At 35.8% G+C, this 14,871-nt stretch overlaps 1 non-coding gene and 1 pseudogene across 1 annotated transcript; both read left to right on the forward strand.

Moving 5' to 3' along the window:
• The first annotated feature begins 409 nt into the window (after positions 1-409).
• Positions 410-13,973, forward strand: LOC112268290 (putative ankyrin repeat domain-containing protein 30B-like; annotated as a pseudogene).
• On the forward strand, positions 9,776-9,882 carry LOC124905168 (U6 spliceosomal RNA). Its single transcript, XR_007068167.1, has one exon. It is a non-coding gene; the product is annotated as a U6 spliceosomal RNA (small nuclear RNA).
• Positions 13,974-14,871: the final 898 nt, after the last annotated feature.

The following is a 14,871-nucleotide window of genomic DNA, read 5'->3' on the forward strand; positions in this document are numbered from 1 at the left end:
AGGTTGAAGAGGGGCCAGGGGCGGCTCTGCCAAGCAGGCCATGTGGCAGGGAGTCCCCCACCTTCCGCTCCAGGGAGCCTCGCCAGCCCGACAGCGCCTCAGTGGCAGGTGCCACCTGCACGCGGTGCTGGGCGAAGCGCAGTCAGGGCCGTTTCCCGCCTCGCGTGTCTCCCCGGTCTGCTGAGTTGCGCATGCGCTGTTTCCTAATGGTTCTGCTCAGCTGCCTAATGGTTTTGCACAGCCCTTTTCTCCCAGGTGAGGCTGGAGTGTCCAAAAGCTTGGCCCGACTGAGATTTCTACTGGTGTCAGGGCGGGTGCGGGGACTGAAGAAGGGCAAGGGCGAGCGGCGGGGACCTGGAAAGGGCAAGCAGCGGGAGGTGCGGGCGCTCTCTAGCAGGTGGCTGCAGCCATGGAGAGGCTCTCTGCCGCCGCTGTCAAGGGCCAGACGGGCCTGGAGTGCCCGAGCCCCTTCAGTCAGCTGGTCTACACCAATAATGACTCTTAAGTGATTCACCATGGGGATCTCAGGAAGATCCACAAAGCTGCCTCCCGGGGCCAAGCCTGGAAGCTGGAGAGGATGATGAAGAAAACGACAATGGACCCGAACATAAGAGATGCGAAGAAGAGGTACCAGACAGTGCCTGAGCCGGGGCTGCAGGAGGAGGAGGCGGCTGTGGGAGGATCTCCCATTCAGAGTGGGGGCTGGGGGTCCTGGGGACGAGGGGAGCAGGTGGAGGAGTGGCGGGCAGCGGGGCGGCCGTCCTGAGCCCTGAGGTCTTGACCTTCTTCCCGGGCAGGCCCCCCAGGCCTTGGATGGGGGCGCCCTGCAGGGCGGAGGGCCCAGGCCACCTTAAAATCAACCCCAAACTTTAGTTAGCTGCTTTCTCCTTCACTCCCACTTCCTCTCACAGAGCACTGTGTAGAGTATTTTAAAGTGATTTAACTTACAAATTTAAGTACATACAGGGTTTTACTTTTAATGTACAGGTTTTAAAAGATAATGTTAGATACATTATGAAATGGTGCGTAATGAAATAATTCCCATAATATATTAACTTCTTGGCTAAAAATTTTTTGGATAAAGTCCAGTATCCATTTCAATATCAATGAATGCCTACGTAAATATGTTCTTTGCTGAGGGACCTTAGAAGGTAACTTTGAGGTGGGAAGATGGTTTATGTTTTCGAATTTAAGAAGACTCATTTTTCTCAAGATGCAAGCTCTTCATCAGTTTTACATAAACCAAACAAAGTTATCAACATTTTAACATTTTTAAAATTACACACGCTGTCTTTTACTATTGTGATGACATTTAAAAAATTTTGTAACGGAGTAGAAAAGTCTTGCCCTTCTAGATTTCAAAATGTGCTATTAATTTGCACAAAATGGGCCACGGCCAGGCGCGGTGGATCATGCCTCTAATCCGAGCACTTTGGGAGGCCGAGGTGGGTGGATCACGAGGTCAGGAGATGGAGACCATCCTGGCTAACACAGCCTCTACTAAAAATACAAAAAATTAGCCGGGTGTGGTAGTGGGCGCTGTAGTCCCAGCTACTTGGGAGGCTGAGGCACGAGAAAGGTGTGAACCCGGGAGGTGGAGCTTGGAGTGACCCGAGATCGCACCACTGCACTCCAGCCTGGGTGACAGAGCGAGACTCTGTTTCAAAATAATCATAATAAATAAATAAATAAATAAATAAATAAATAAATAAAATAAATAAAATTTGAAAAAAAAAAAGCCAGGCGTGGTAGCTCATGCCTGTAGTCCCAGCATTTCGGGCGGCCAAAGCGGGTGGATCACCTGAGGTCAGGAGTTCAAGACTAGCCTGGCCAATATGGTGAAACCCCAACTCTACAAAAATACAAAAATTAGCCAGGCACAATGTCGGGAGCCTGTAATCCCATCTACTCGGGAGACTGAGGAGGGAGAATCCCTTGAAACTGGGAGGTGGAGGTTGCAGTGAGCTGAGATTCCATCACTGCACTCCAGCCTGGGCGACAGAGTGAGACTCTGTCTCAAAAATAAATAAATAAATCACAAATTATTTGATAACAGCTGAAAAGACAGGTAAATGAATACAACAGAATAGAAAATCCAGAAACACCCAAATATCTAAGAATTTAGAACTTTATACTAGTAGGGAAAGAATTAGTTTCATAAGCGAAATGCCTACTTTTTGGAGAAAACTAGATTTTTATACCACAAGGTAAATTTCTGACGGAATACAGATTAAATTTTTTTAATATACAAAATGATAAAAGCACCAGAAGAAAATATAAATACTGATTTACACAGGTACATTTTTATGTTGACAACACCTTTCTAAGAAGCTCAGAAGCAAGCAATCTGAAGGACAATTAAGCAAAACAAAATTAAATTAACCTGTAATGAGAAAAAATAAAAGGCAGCATACTTGTAAAATGTTTACTGCACATGTATGTGCGTGTGTATATATATATTAGATTTAAAAATCGTCATTTTATAGATAATTCACTTAAATCAACAAAAAACCCTCTAATTTAAAATTGAGCAATTTAAATTAGAGATCTAAATTGCAGATCTAAAAATAGTACTTCGCTTCTAATTTAAAATTGGGAAAGTATTTTCTTAAGATCTGTAAGTGACCTATGCACATAGAAAACAATATTTAGCTTTCCTGGTTAGAGAAGGTATTTAAGTTAAAAGAGGAATCAAATACTGTTTTCTATCTACAAAATTTGTGAGGAAAAAGAGCAGTGATATTTATAATGCTATTTAAAGTTTAAGTTGCAGATAACTTTTCAAGTAGACAATTTGGTGGTAAGTACCATATTATTAAGAAGAATCCACATAATGGCTTTTATAAATACACTTCAGTGAATTTACAGCATGGGATAATATGTGACCACTGAAGGTAGAAATATGTAGAGAAGTAGGTGACATTTGAAAATATATTTTGGTGTATCAAGTGAGGGTAAAGTTCAGTTTGATTATACATACACACAGACTACAGTCTTGTGTTATCTGAAATTGTGTATGAAATACGATAAAATTTGTTATTTGAGGGCATTGGTTTTAATATAAAATGTTTTTCCTTTTTATTATCTTTGATTTCCACATTGAGCATGTACAATGCTATTAGAAAAAGTTTATTATTAATGAAATAATTTTTAAGAAGAGCAAGAATATAATTTTGCAGCAGTAAAAATTATTTCTCACCTTCCATATTTTAATTATTATTTTTTGTGGATTAGTATATTCTGTGAACTTTTAGCATCTTCAAAAGACAATCTTTTTACCTGTGCTTGTTGATTTACATATACATCTTATTAGGCATATATTTTTATTATATATAGATTTATTACATATATGTCAATAATTATAGATTAGTGTACTTTTATTATTAAGAAAACAAAATAGAAAATATAAGTGTTTTATAGCAGTTTTTTTAAGGTATTGAACTTCTCAACTGTATTTATCCTTTTAATCAGTTTATCACATGTAAGCTGAATGCCTATTATGTATAAGATACATTAACTCTCAAGATCCTTTCATCCTTAAAAATTTTACATTTACCTGCTCAGCCTTAGCAAAGTGAGAGATTTAAAGTTGGAGTACTGGGACTGAATCTCAATTGAAGCTTTTCCTCTCTTCTTTAAAACAAAAACACTTCTGAAGTGAGAAACTAGTAAAAGATAACTACCAACCACGATTTCAGAATTTTATAACAGCTTTAAATAGTAATATTAATCATTGGAAATACCTAATTTACATGCAGTCTATAAATTTAAATATGAATTTACATACATTCTGTAAATCTAAATATGGAATAAAATGAGCCATACCTACTTGAATCCCAAGTTTTCTTTGGCTTGAAGTTTTAAAAATATTGAAGAAGTACTTTGTTTTAACAGTTTGTTTTTATTTCAACTCCCCTTTTGTGTAGCACTCTTAAAAGCTAAAATTTCTTTAAGTGTTAATCCTATGACTAGGACTGCCATCATCCTGTTTTATATACTGCATTCCACTTCATGGAAGGCATCATGAATTGTGTGATGCCTCCTTATTTATGTACCAATAAAAGATTCTTTAAATTTCTGCAAAATGTACTTGTAATAAATAATGACTTATAAGTGGCATTTCAATGTCAGAGATGTTAAAATATGAGAAATAGAGTATCTTAGAATTATTAAAATACAGTTTTATCTCTAACCTTTAAAACATATCACAACGTAGGCATAACTGTACCATTTTACTTAAAATGTTTTCTTTGTTAAGTAGTAGAAATAATTACAATATCTAACAATTACTGAGCTGTTACATGTGCTAGGAATTCTTTGAAATACATTGCACAGATTCTCATGAGGCATCACAGTGATGTCCTGTGAGATAACTGCTGTATTCATCTTCACTTTATTGATGAGAAAATTGAGGCACAGAAAGGTTAAGTGATAGCTAGAAGGTGAAAGACTTTAAAGTAATATTCAAGCTCAAGTTGAACTGAATCCAAAGGCCAAGCTCTTTCTATTCAAATAGGCCACTCTTTCATTAATGTAGTGAGTAATAAGAGTGAATGAATGTTGTTCTTTCTTCAGGAGAATATTAAATATTTGTTTTGAAGGCAGAGAAAGAGAATGGTATTTAATGTTGACAATTACATAAATCATTATATGCTTTGAGACAGTGGACTAAACTTTCCTAAAAAGTCCTCTCACTCTCGTAGGACTGCACTACACTGGGCCTGTGCCAATGGCCATGCAGAAGTAGTAACACTTCTGGTAGATAGAAAGTGCCAGCTTGACGTCCTTGATGGTGAAAACGGGACACCTCTGATGAAGGAAAATGGTAGCCAGTTCTTTCAGCAGGAGATGGATTTGGTTTAAATACATAGAATAAAAATGAATGTATCTCATTGAAATATAACTAGTTTGTGAAACCTGTGGAATATTTATTTATATTTCCTATAATTTATAATTTACTTCTTGCTTTAATACTGACAGGCTGTGCAATGCCAGAGGGAAGTTTGTGCAAATATTCTCATAGATTCTGGTGCTGATCCAAATATTGTAGATGTGTATGTCAACACAGCTGTCCATTATGCTGTTTATGGTGAGAATTTGTCAGTGGTGGCAAAATTGCTGTCCTGTGGTGCAGACATCAAAGTGAAGAACAAGGTAGAAGTTAACCAATGTTATTTTCAAAATATTTGAAATTCATTTGTTTTAACATTAACATATGTAAATTGTTTTATATTTGGAAGCTCAAACATTCCTATTTTTCTATGAAAATAGTTTGACAAAACTTAATTGTCTAGGATTTTGCTTTAAATATTATTATTTTTACAAGAACTATTAGTATGGCTTTTCTGTGCATTATGATAAATATTTGAGTTTGTTAAAGGTAAAATTTTTCAAATATTCTTTCCCACCTGTTTTTTTTTTCTTTCCTGTTAGCATAAAACTACAGGAAAGTAAAATTTGCCTGCATAAATTGAGTCAACATGTAAAATTTAGGAGACATGCAGAAATCTGGATTTCCTCTTAAAGGATTGAATCTGGTGTCTCTTGAGCCTGTATGACTGTTTGGTATGCTATGAAGACATTCTAACTTTACATAAAGCATATGTTTCCAGTTTGCTACTGTGTCCACCTAGTTACATCACTTATTCAACTTACCTCTTTTGCCTCTGTAAATATTTCAGTTATCAATTCCTCTCTCATAGTATATTTTGGTAAAGATTTCAAGTTATTGAAGACAGTTTACAGGTGTTTATAATATATAGTTTATATTTTACATTAATTCATTAGTAATGGGGTTGTCTTCTAGAATTTAGAATATTTTTTAAATGATGATTTTTCTTCATATAAACCATAAATAATCATTTTCTATTAGAAGGCCTTTAAGCTTTTTTAGATTAATCATGTTTATATTTGAATAGGTTATGCAAATTGCAGAAAATATTATATCTTTCTCCACAGAATTGTCCCTTAAAATTCAAGCGATTTAGTGGCTTCTATTTTGCTAATCCATATACATGAGTTAGAACTTTCATTAATAAGCCATTTTATTCATACTTCTGATATTTTCCCAAAAAATAGTATCAATTACAATAGAAACCGGAATAAAAATGGATTATTGCATTTTAAGAAGTGGATATGCATTAGGATCCTAGGAGTATCATTATAATTGAGAATAAACTTTTATACTGAATTGCTTTTCTTTTTTTCTTTTTTTTTCTTTTTGAGACGGAGCCTCGCTCTGTCACCAGGCTGGAGTGCAGTGGTGTGATCTTGGCTCACTGCAACCTCTGCCTCCCTGGTTCAAGCGATTGTCCTGTCTCAGCCTCCTGAGTAGCTGGGACGCAGGCATGTGCCACCATGCTCGGCTAAATTTTTTGTATTTTTAGCAGAGATGGGGTTTCACCATGTTGACCAGGATGGTCTCGATCTCCTGACCTTGTGATCTGCCCACCTTGGCCTCGCAAAGTGCTGGGATTAAAGGCATGAACCACCTCACCTGGTCTTTTATACTGAATTTCTAATAGCTTAGATAAAATCCTATTTTCTGGTAATAGGATAAACCCCATGGACCATTTAATAATAAGCAATCAAAGTTTATTTGAAGCCAATCTCTTTTAATTTAGAGCCACTTCCTTAGTGACCCATTTAGAGCAGGAGTGCCTGACATTGTCATCTGGAATCTTGGGATCATTGAGAGAAGAGAATCAAGTAAGTTTGTATCACTCAGAGGAAACCTCCATTTTTGGGGGGAAGCTTTCAAAACTGCATCCCTGAAATTCTAATTTGTCAAATGTTAATGTTTGCCACAAAAATATACTGTCAAATAAGGATTAGGTAAAGTTCAATTCATTTCTTGAATAATGAACATTTAATTCACAGTTTTATAACATTTCTTGAAAATAGATAATGGTGGAATCTGTTGGGGTACAATGATTCTGGTAAGGTAATTATTCTTTGGAATATAGTTGAAGAAACACTGTTCTAGAGGTAATAATTTAGATTACTAATTTAGTAAAAAACAAAGTATTTACTACTATGTCTTAGGGTTTAAGGATATAAAGGTAAAAGATACAGCCCCTGCCCTCAAGAAGCTCCTGGTTTAAATGGGAAACAATAAAATCATTACAATATAATGATTTTTGGAGATAACCGGAGTTAATGTGGTGATGCAGAGGCTGAATGTTTACAAGAGAAGGTGCAGTGCATGGGAAAGCACAGAAAAGTGAGAAAGAAGGGATTGCTATTGATTTACTTTCCATTGTTTAAGTTCATAGGATATTATATAAGGTATTCAGTTCAGCTGAGAAATATGTAATTTCATGAATTATAAATGGTTTTTGCTGTTTTACAGGCTGGCCACACACCACTTTTACTGGCCATAAGGAAAAGAAGTGAGCAAATTGTGGAATTTTTACTGACAAAAAATGCAAATGCAAATGCAAATTCAGTTGATAAGTTTAAATGGTATAGTAGTTTTTTTTATTAAAAAACACTTGAGTAGTGTGCTAGAGTAATAACACTCATCAGAAATATTAAATTAATAACATTTACTTAAAATTATTAGATTATACAGAAAAATACCAACACAAATTATCAGTTAGGAAGAAAAGCAATTATTTGGACTGGTCAACATAAAGAACAGTATATAGTAGGATTTTCTTCTTTTGTTATATTGACTGATTCTTATTTGTAATCTGATGTTTTTGGTTGCATTATCTTCTATTAGCTAAAGTGGTTCTGTATTAGTTTTAAGAAGTATGAATTTTTAGTTTACTTTATAATTCAATATTGAATGATTAACACCTTTATAGTATTTTTCTAACTTCTGTTTTTCATACACTTTTTAAAAATGCAATATTTGCTGGGCATGGTAGCTGTCATCTGTTATCCCAGCACTTTGGGAGGCCAAGTGGGTAGATCACCTGAGGCCAGGAATTTGAGACCAGCCTAGCCAACATGGTAAAACCCCATCTCTATGAAAAATATAAAAATTAGCCAAGCATGGTGGCACATGCCTATAGTCCCAGCTACTCAGGACAAATATTATTCCTAATATTGTTTTAAGTCTTCAGATTGCTCTCACTTGTCCGACTTCTAGCTAATTTTGAAGTACAAAATATTATATCAAACTAAGGAGGAAATAGATAATTCTCCACTTAAAACTTTGCCTCTTTTAGATTAGTGAACAGAACATATTTTCTTGCCCCTCAGTGGACTTTATGTTAGCCAATTCTACTATGCCATATCCCAGTGAGACATGAGTATTTTCACCCCTTCCTTTTAGCCTTGGTCGTGATTTACAAGGATAAACACTTGAGCACTCAAGATACTTAACATTTGTTAATACATGTAAATGGTTAATTCTACACTGACAGGCACATATTAAATTGGTTCTGTTCCTAATAATGAAGTTATCTCTTTGTTATTTTAGCACAGCCCTCATGCTTGCCATATGTCATGGATCATCAGAGATAGTTGGCATGGTTCTTCAGCAAAATGTTGACATCTGTGCTGTAGATACGTGTGGAATGATTGCAGAACGTTATGCTGTTGCTTGTGGATTTAATCTGTAAGTGTTTACATTTAAAGGTTAGGTGAGATTTTATAGTTTGTTTCAGGTAGTTTTTGAATGACAGTGAGTTAGTTCACTTCATCAGCCAGAAACTAGGCAAAAAGCTAGACTATTTAGAAGGAGTAATGGCTCCAGGATTCTCTGTTTTAGGGCTTTAGGGATGCAAATGTTGTCTACTTGATTTGAAGTATAACCCCTATGCATGGGATAAACATAAAGTCACAATTTTGGTTTTCCTAATTAGTTATTTGGGTCTCGAAATGTCCACTTTAAGCAGAAAACCTGATAGTGTCCCCAGGGGGCTGTCTTCCATACCTTCATTCTTGAATTTTTTAAAAGAAACTGAACCTAAGTCCAAGGAAGACATTCCTTTTGTACAAGTCAGAAGGATTGGGGGGGAAATGCCCATTCTCTTCATTTTGTTGTTTCCATTGATTCTGTTGCTGCATCGTTGCCATTGAAACTGCTCCTGCAGTCTGGTAATGATTGACTTTTGTGACCAGGATGCCCTTATTAACACAGATCCCTCAGTCTTCATGGTGTAGACTTTGAAGTTACTACATGTTTTTAAAATTCACGTACATATTCTTAGCCATTGTTTCCAAAGTACCAGCACCCTACTCTGGCAGCTAGAACTTTTAGCTTTAGCCACACACATAGTGAGCAAATTGACCCTTCTCCTCACACCCAAAACCTGATGTGAAACCCACATCTTAGCCTGGGCATGGCCTAGACCTTCATGGTAAGTTATCCTTTGAGTGGCTTTTTTCTATTTTCTCTAGCCAATATTAGTTGTGGTAGTTTGAAACTGTAAGTCAGGTTGAAATAATGTTACAGGAAGAAATTAGAGATCCATTTTGTCTTTGTTAACAGATTTATATCCCTGGCCCTTTATATCCTGTGTAGCACCATTTTGTAGGTAGTGGAAAGTCTCACCTTATTCTGTAAAATCCCATGTCATCTTTCCCAAGTTGTAGTGGGTTCCAACTTGTGGTTGTCCCCTCAAGTGATTCTTTTTTCCTAAAAGTAAAAATCTCCCATGCTACTTACATCTCTACCTCGAGATTTTAAAATATTTTCAAATGCTGCATCACCATGAAGCCATTCAATAGACTTCACTAAATCTCAAGTAAGTTGGTTAGATTTAACAGAGCTAAGCCTCATCCATCACTGATCAGTCTTCACGTATAAAAATAAGGATTTGTGCTGGCTTCAGTGGTACATATAGTAAAATTGAAACAACGTTGAGAAGATCAGCACGGTCCCCACACAAGGATGACATAGAAATCTGTAAAGTGTTGCATATTTCTTGCAGTCCCCAAAAGGACATTTTACTACTTTCTAACTAGCTCCAAGGAAATGGTGTGAGTCAAAGCAAAATGGGTGACACCAAGTATTGCAATTGTGATTTTCATACAAAAAATTATTTATGTAAGGTGGTCTATGAAATGAGATGTGGTAACCCATAGGATCTTGTGTGCAATATTTTGTTAGTAGGGATCTCTGAAATGAGAAAATACCAACTTGCATCTTCTTTGTGGAACTTACAAAAAATGAAAGTAGGGTTTTGTCTTCCACAGCAGCTGGAAATGAACATAGTGACTAAGCGTCATTCTAACAAAGATTTGTTGGTTCAGAATTTAAGGAGGTAGATTAAGAGTAGTAGTATTCCAAGCCACATGCTGACATCTATTAGTTTTCTGCCCTTGGCGTGACTGATGAGCTCAGTAATAGAGTATAATTAGGTTATCTGATTTAATGATTTAATATATGTATAAATAAATTTCATTACAAAATATAAAATAGCTTAGATGCTCTGAATTACAAGCCACATAGAATAGAACATCTAATATCCAAAAGTAGGAATTAATAACAGGAAATTGCAATATTTGAATATTATAACCTATGAAGAAACACATTTTTTTTTGTAATTTAATTTTTGTAAAGATATGGCCTCCCTACGTTGCCCAGGCTGGTCTTGAACTTCTGGACTCAAGCAATCCTCCTGTCTCAGCATCCCAAAGTGCTTACATCACAAGCATGAGCCACTGCACCAGGCCAATACATTGGGTTTTTTGGGAATTTTAAAATAGTTTCAGCAATAATGTTCAAGAACAAATTATTTTTTTGCTTCACTTTTTATTTTAAGCATTTTTAAAATGTTATCTTGTTAAATCTTTATAATAACATAGTGAAATAAGGCCCTAAAATCCTCATCGTTAGAAGACATTGAGTCTAAGAGAAGCAACTTGTTCAAGAAAAAATACCTGTTGGTAGCCATGCTAGGACTTATTCTGAGGTAAGGATATTTTCCATATATCAAGCTACCTCTGGTTAATTTACTGAGTTATACTGCCCTCACTTCATGAGTGTTTTATCTTTCTTTCTTCTTTAATTAGAAGCTTAATAAGTTCATAGAGCTTACAAACTTAAAGACTGTGGAAAAAGTAATGTTCTGATGTTAGCTCTAATGTTGTCTGAAATACCCTAAGAACTTAATAAATTTGGTAAATGTTTTTTATATCAATGTTAAAATAGTAATTTTATTTATTTCATTTTTATACAAGGCATTCATCAACAACTTTTGGAATACAAACAAAAGATATCTAAAAATTCTCAAAATAACAATCCAGGTAAGACATCTGATAGTAAACTACTCTTGGTGGTGCTACCATGAGATTATAGGAGTGTTGATCACAAAAGAGCTATTAAAAAAGCAATGTGTAAGTAGCAAGTGTTTACATATATATCTATATGTAAGTGTTTTTATATATACATAGCTTTGATTTAATTTTTTAGTTTATAATTCAGAATTCATTAAGAATTTAGTTGTAGGTGGTTTATAATCTCAAAAATATTATCTGAAAAGATATTTGTTTAATTGTGGTCCCTAATATCCTATATAATACTTTTGTATAAATAAGTAAAACAATTTTTAAGTTTATATATTGTATGTTTTCTCAACTGTCATAACAATTTATGCTTGTTATAAAATGTAGAATCCTTGGTGTGATTGATGAACTCAGTAATAGGGGATTATCAGCTTATCAAATTTAATGAATTAATATATTTATAAATAAACTTTATTACAAATTATAAAATAGCTTAGATGCCTTGAATTACAAGCCACAAATAATAGAACATCTAATAATGAAAAGTAGGAATTAATAACAGAAAACTGCAACATTTGAATATTATAAACTATAAAGGAACACAGTTAAATAAACTGTTAAATAAACAAATATTTATGTTTGTTTATTAAACATAAACAAACATATAAAATGTTTATTTGTTAAATAAAAAAATAATTTATTTTTTTGTTTGTTTCTTTATTGTAGAGACAAGGTCTCCTTATGTTGCCCAGGATGGTCTTGAACTTCGGGGATTTATTTAATTTTTACAATAAATGATTTGCATTTAGAAAATTAGAATTAATTACAGTTGAGTCTTGAGCAAGATGAGAATTAGGGTGCTCATCCCCCCATGCAACTGAAAATCTGCTTTATATGAAAATCGGTTTCTTTTGACTCCTCCAAAACTCTACTAATTGTCTACTGTTGACCTGGAGCCTGAAAAAAGGTGAAAGCAGAAGCAGTCAATTAACCCATAATTTCTATTTTATATGTACTATATACTGTATTCTTAGAATAAAGTGAGCTGGAGAAAAGAAACTGTTATAAAGAGGAAGAAATATGTTCACTATTTATAAGATGGAAGTGAATTATACATAAAGGACTTCATTCTCATTGCCTTCACATTGAGTAGGCTGATAAGGAGGAGGCAGAGGAGAGATTTGTCTTGGTATCTTGCAGTGGCAAAGGAAAAGAAAAATCTGTCTATTAGTGGGCTCCTAGAGTGAAAACCCTTATTCAAAGATCAACTGTGTGGCATAGTGACTTGTGTCACTAAAAAAGTAACTCTCTTTAGAATTTGGAACTCAATAATACTTTTCTTGAACCATAAATGAATGTCAATAAGAATTAACATAACTTAACGAGGGTGCATCAGTACCAATAGGAGATTATTTTTCAAAGATACCTACCGAGTGCAGAAGTCAGAAAAGCAATTCTTTGTTGAGAAGTGCAGGTTATGTTACATAGTCTTGTACCAACAAGGTCTCACTATTATCTACTTCATTCCCTCTAAGTTGAAACCAAATAAGATATATTTACTTCATTAGAACAAGATATGTTGTTCTATCTGCTGGATAATTAGTGTGTTAATAGTAATTTTGTTACAACAAGTTACTCTGTTCCTACTAGCCAAAATATTATCATTATAAATATCCAACTAGCTCAATTCTAGGCTCAACAAATTATAATAAAAGTGGAAAAAGTTTTCACAATAACAAAAGTGCTACTGTGATACCTAAATGTGACACAATACATTGTACAATATGAACTGTATTAGCACTTCTTTAATTTATTACATATTTATCAAAGGACTTCTATAAGTTAGATTTTGCAAGTTGCAGGAGACCAAGATGGAATACACATAGTCTGGGTCTTTAAGGTGCTCATAATACATTAGAGCTGTCTCTATTGAATTTCTGCATTTTTCCAACAGAATTTCCTAACTATGTTTTTTATTTGTTTATCCACTTGTCCACTTAACAAATAACTGTCAGGTATCTTTAGGGTACTAAGCATCTTTCTTGTTATTATCATTGTCATTTTTTATTATTTACTACTTTATTAAGGTACTAAGCATTTTTCTTGTTATTATCATCTTTTTTATTATTTACTACTTTATTTAGTGCTTACTCTGTGCCAGAACCCCTTTGGGAGCTTATAATTATCACTTATTATGTCATTACCATATTCAGTATGTGTCAGACATTTTATATCCAACGTGAAGAATTAAAGCTTTAAAAAGTTTGATAGTGTCCAGGAGCGGTGGCTCACTCCTGTAATCCTAGCACTTTGGAAGACCAAGGCAGACGGATTGCTTGAGCTCAGGGGTTTGGGACCACCCTGCCTAACATGGTGAAATCCCACCTCTACTAAATACAAAAAATTAGCTGGGCCTGGGTGGCATGCATATGTAATCCCAGCTACATGGGAGGCTGAGGATTTCATGAACCCAGGAGGCGGAGGTTGCAGTGATCTGCTGAGATCGTGCCACTGCACTCCAGCCTGGGTGACAGAGCAAGGCTCTTGTTTCAAAAAAAAAAAATAAGGAGAAAACAAAAGTTTGGTAGTATTTAAAGAAAGCAAGCTGAATGAGTAGAAGTTTTGCAAGTTAAGAGTCAGAAGGATGATATTTAGCCAAAGGAAAATTTAACCAGACTGTGTGTTTGGCAGAAGGAACATCTGAAGGAACACCTGACGAGGCTGCACCCTTGGCAGAAAGAACACCTGACATGGCTGAAAGCTTGGTGGAAAGAACACCTGACGAATAGGATACAGTGAATTCATCTTCAAAGATTTTAGCCTGTAAAAATCCTTTAAAATTCAAGAGGGGGAAGATTAAGTACAGTGAGTTCTGAGTTCCTCATCAAAAAAAAAATATGTCAGTATGTCCAGCTTCTCTGTTCTTTTTTCTCCGTTTTAAAGTTTAACTTCCTCGTTCGTTATGCCTCCTTGCCCCTAGTTTCATTAAACAACCCCCTCCTAGCCTCTAACACCTGCTTTGTCTTTAGTCATTCTTAGTCACCTGCTCTGTCCTTAGTCATCCTTAGACACCTGCTCTGTAACTGGCTTTCCCGCTGAAACTACTCACCCTGCCACTCCAGCTTATACCCCTACTCTCTTTGAAATAGCCAATCTGAATTAGCTTAGAGTGTGCAGTCCAACCCTATCCAATAGGGAAAAGACACAACAGTAGGGACTAGCTGCGTTAGGAGTAAGAACACTTTCCCCTCCCTTGTCCGGTGTGATCTTGCCATTGCTCCATCTGCAAGACCACTCTTCCATAGAAGTAATTTTGCCTTGCTGTAAAAACTTGTGGCTGGAGTGCTGACTGTTCTTTGTGGCACCAAAAATTTATTTTCCACAAATTTGGGGGCCCACCCAGCATTCCCATTCTCCTCTGGGGGAGGGTCCAGTCCTCTCCCATGAGGAGGCGCACCCCGCTGCCTTGTTGCAGTGGCCATAAAGGTAAGGAATCAAGACTCAACTGGTGCGATTAATAAACCTGGGCTCTCAGCAACGTGGAAAGAAACAGGCCAGCATCTTTGGGGAAAGGATCTTCACATGCCGTGGTGACCATGTAACTGTGCATAGACTGAGGTAAGAAATGTCACAGGGGTGACAAAGTATTTCCTTGGTGGTCGGGATATTCTGGAGGTTGAAAGTGTG

The sequence above is a fragment of the Homo sapiens genome, chromosome 22, assembly GCF_000001405.40.
Source record: "Homo sapiens chromosome 22, GRCh38.p14 Primary Assembly".
In the NCBI taxonomy this organism is placed as follows: domain Eukaryota; kingdom Metazoa; phylum Chordata; class Mammalia; order Primates; family Hominidae; genus Homo; species Homo sapiens.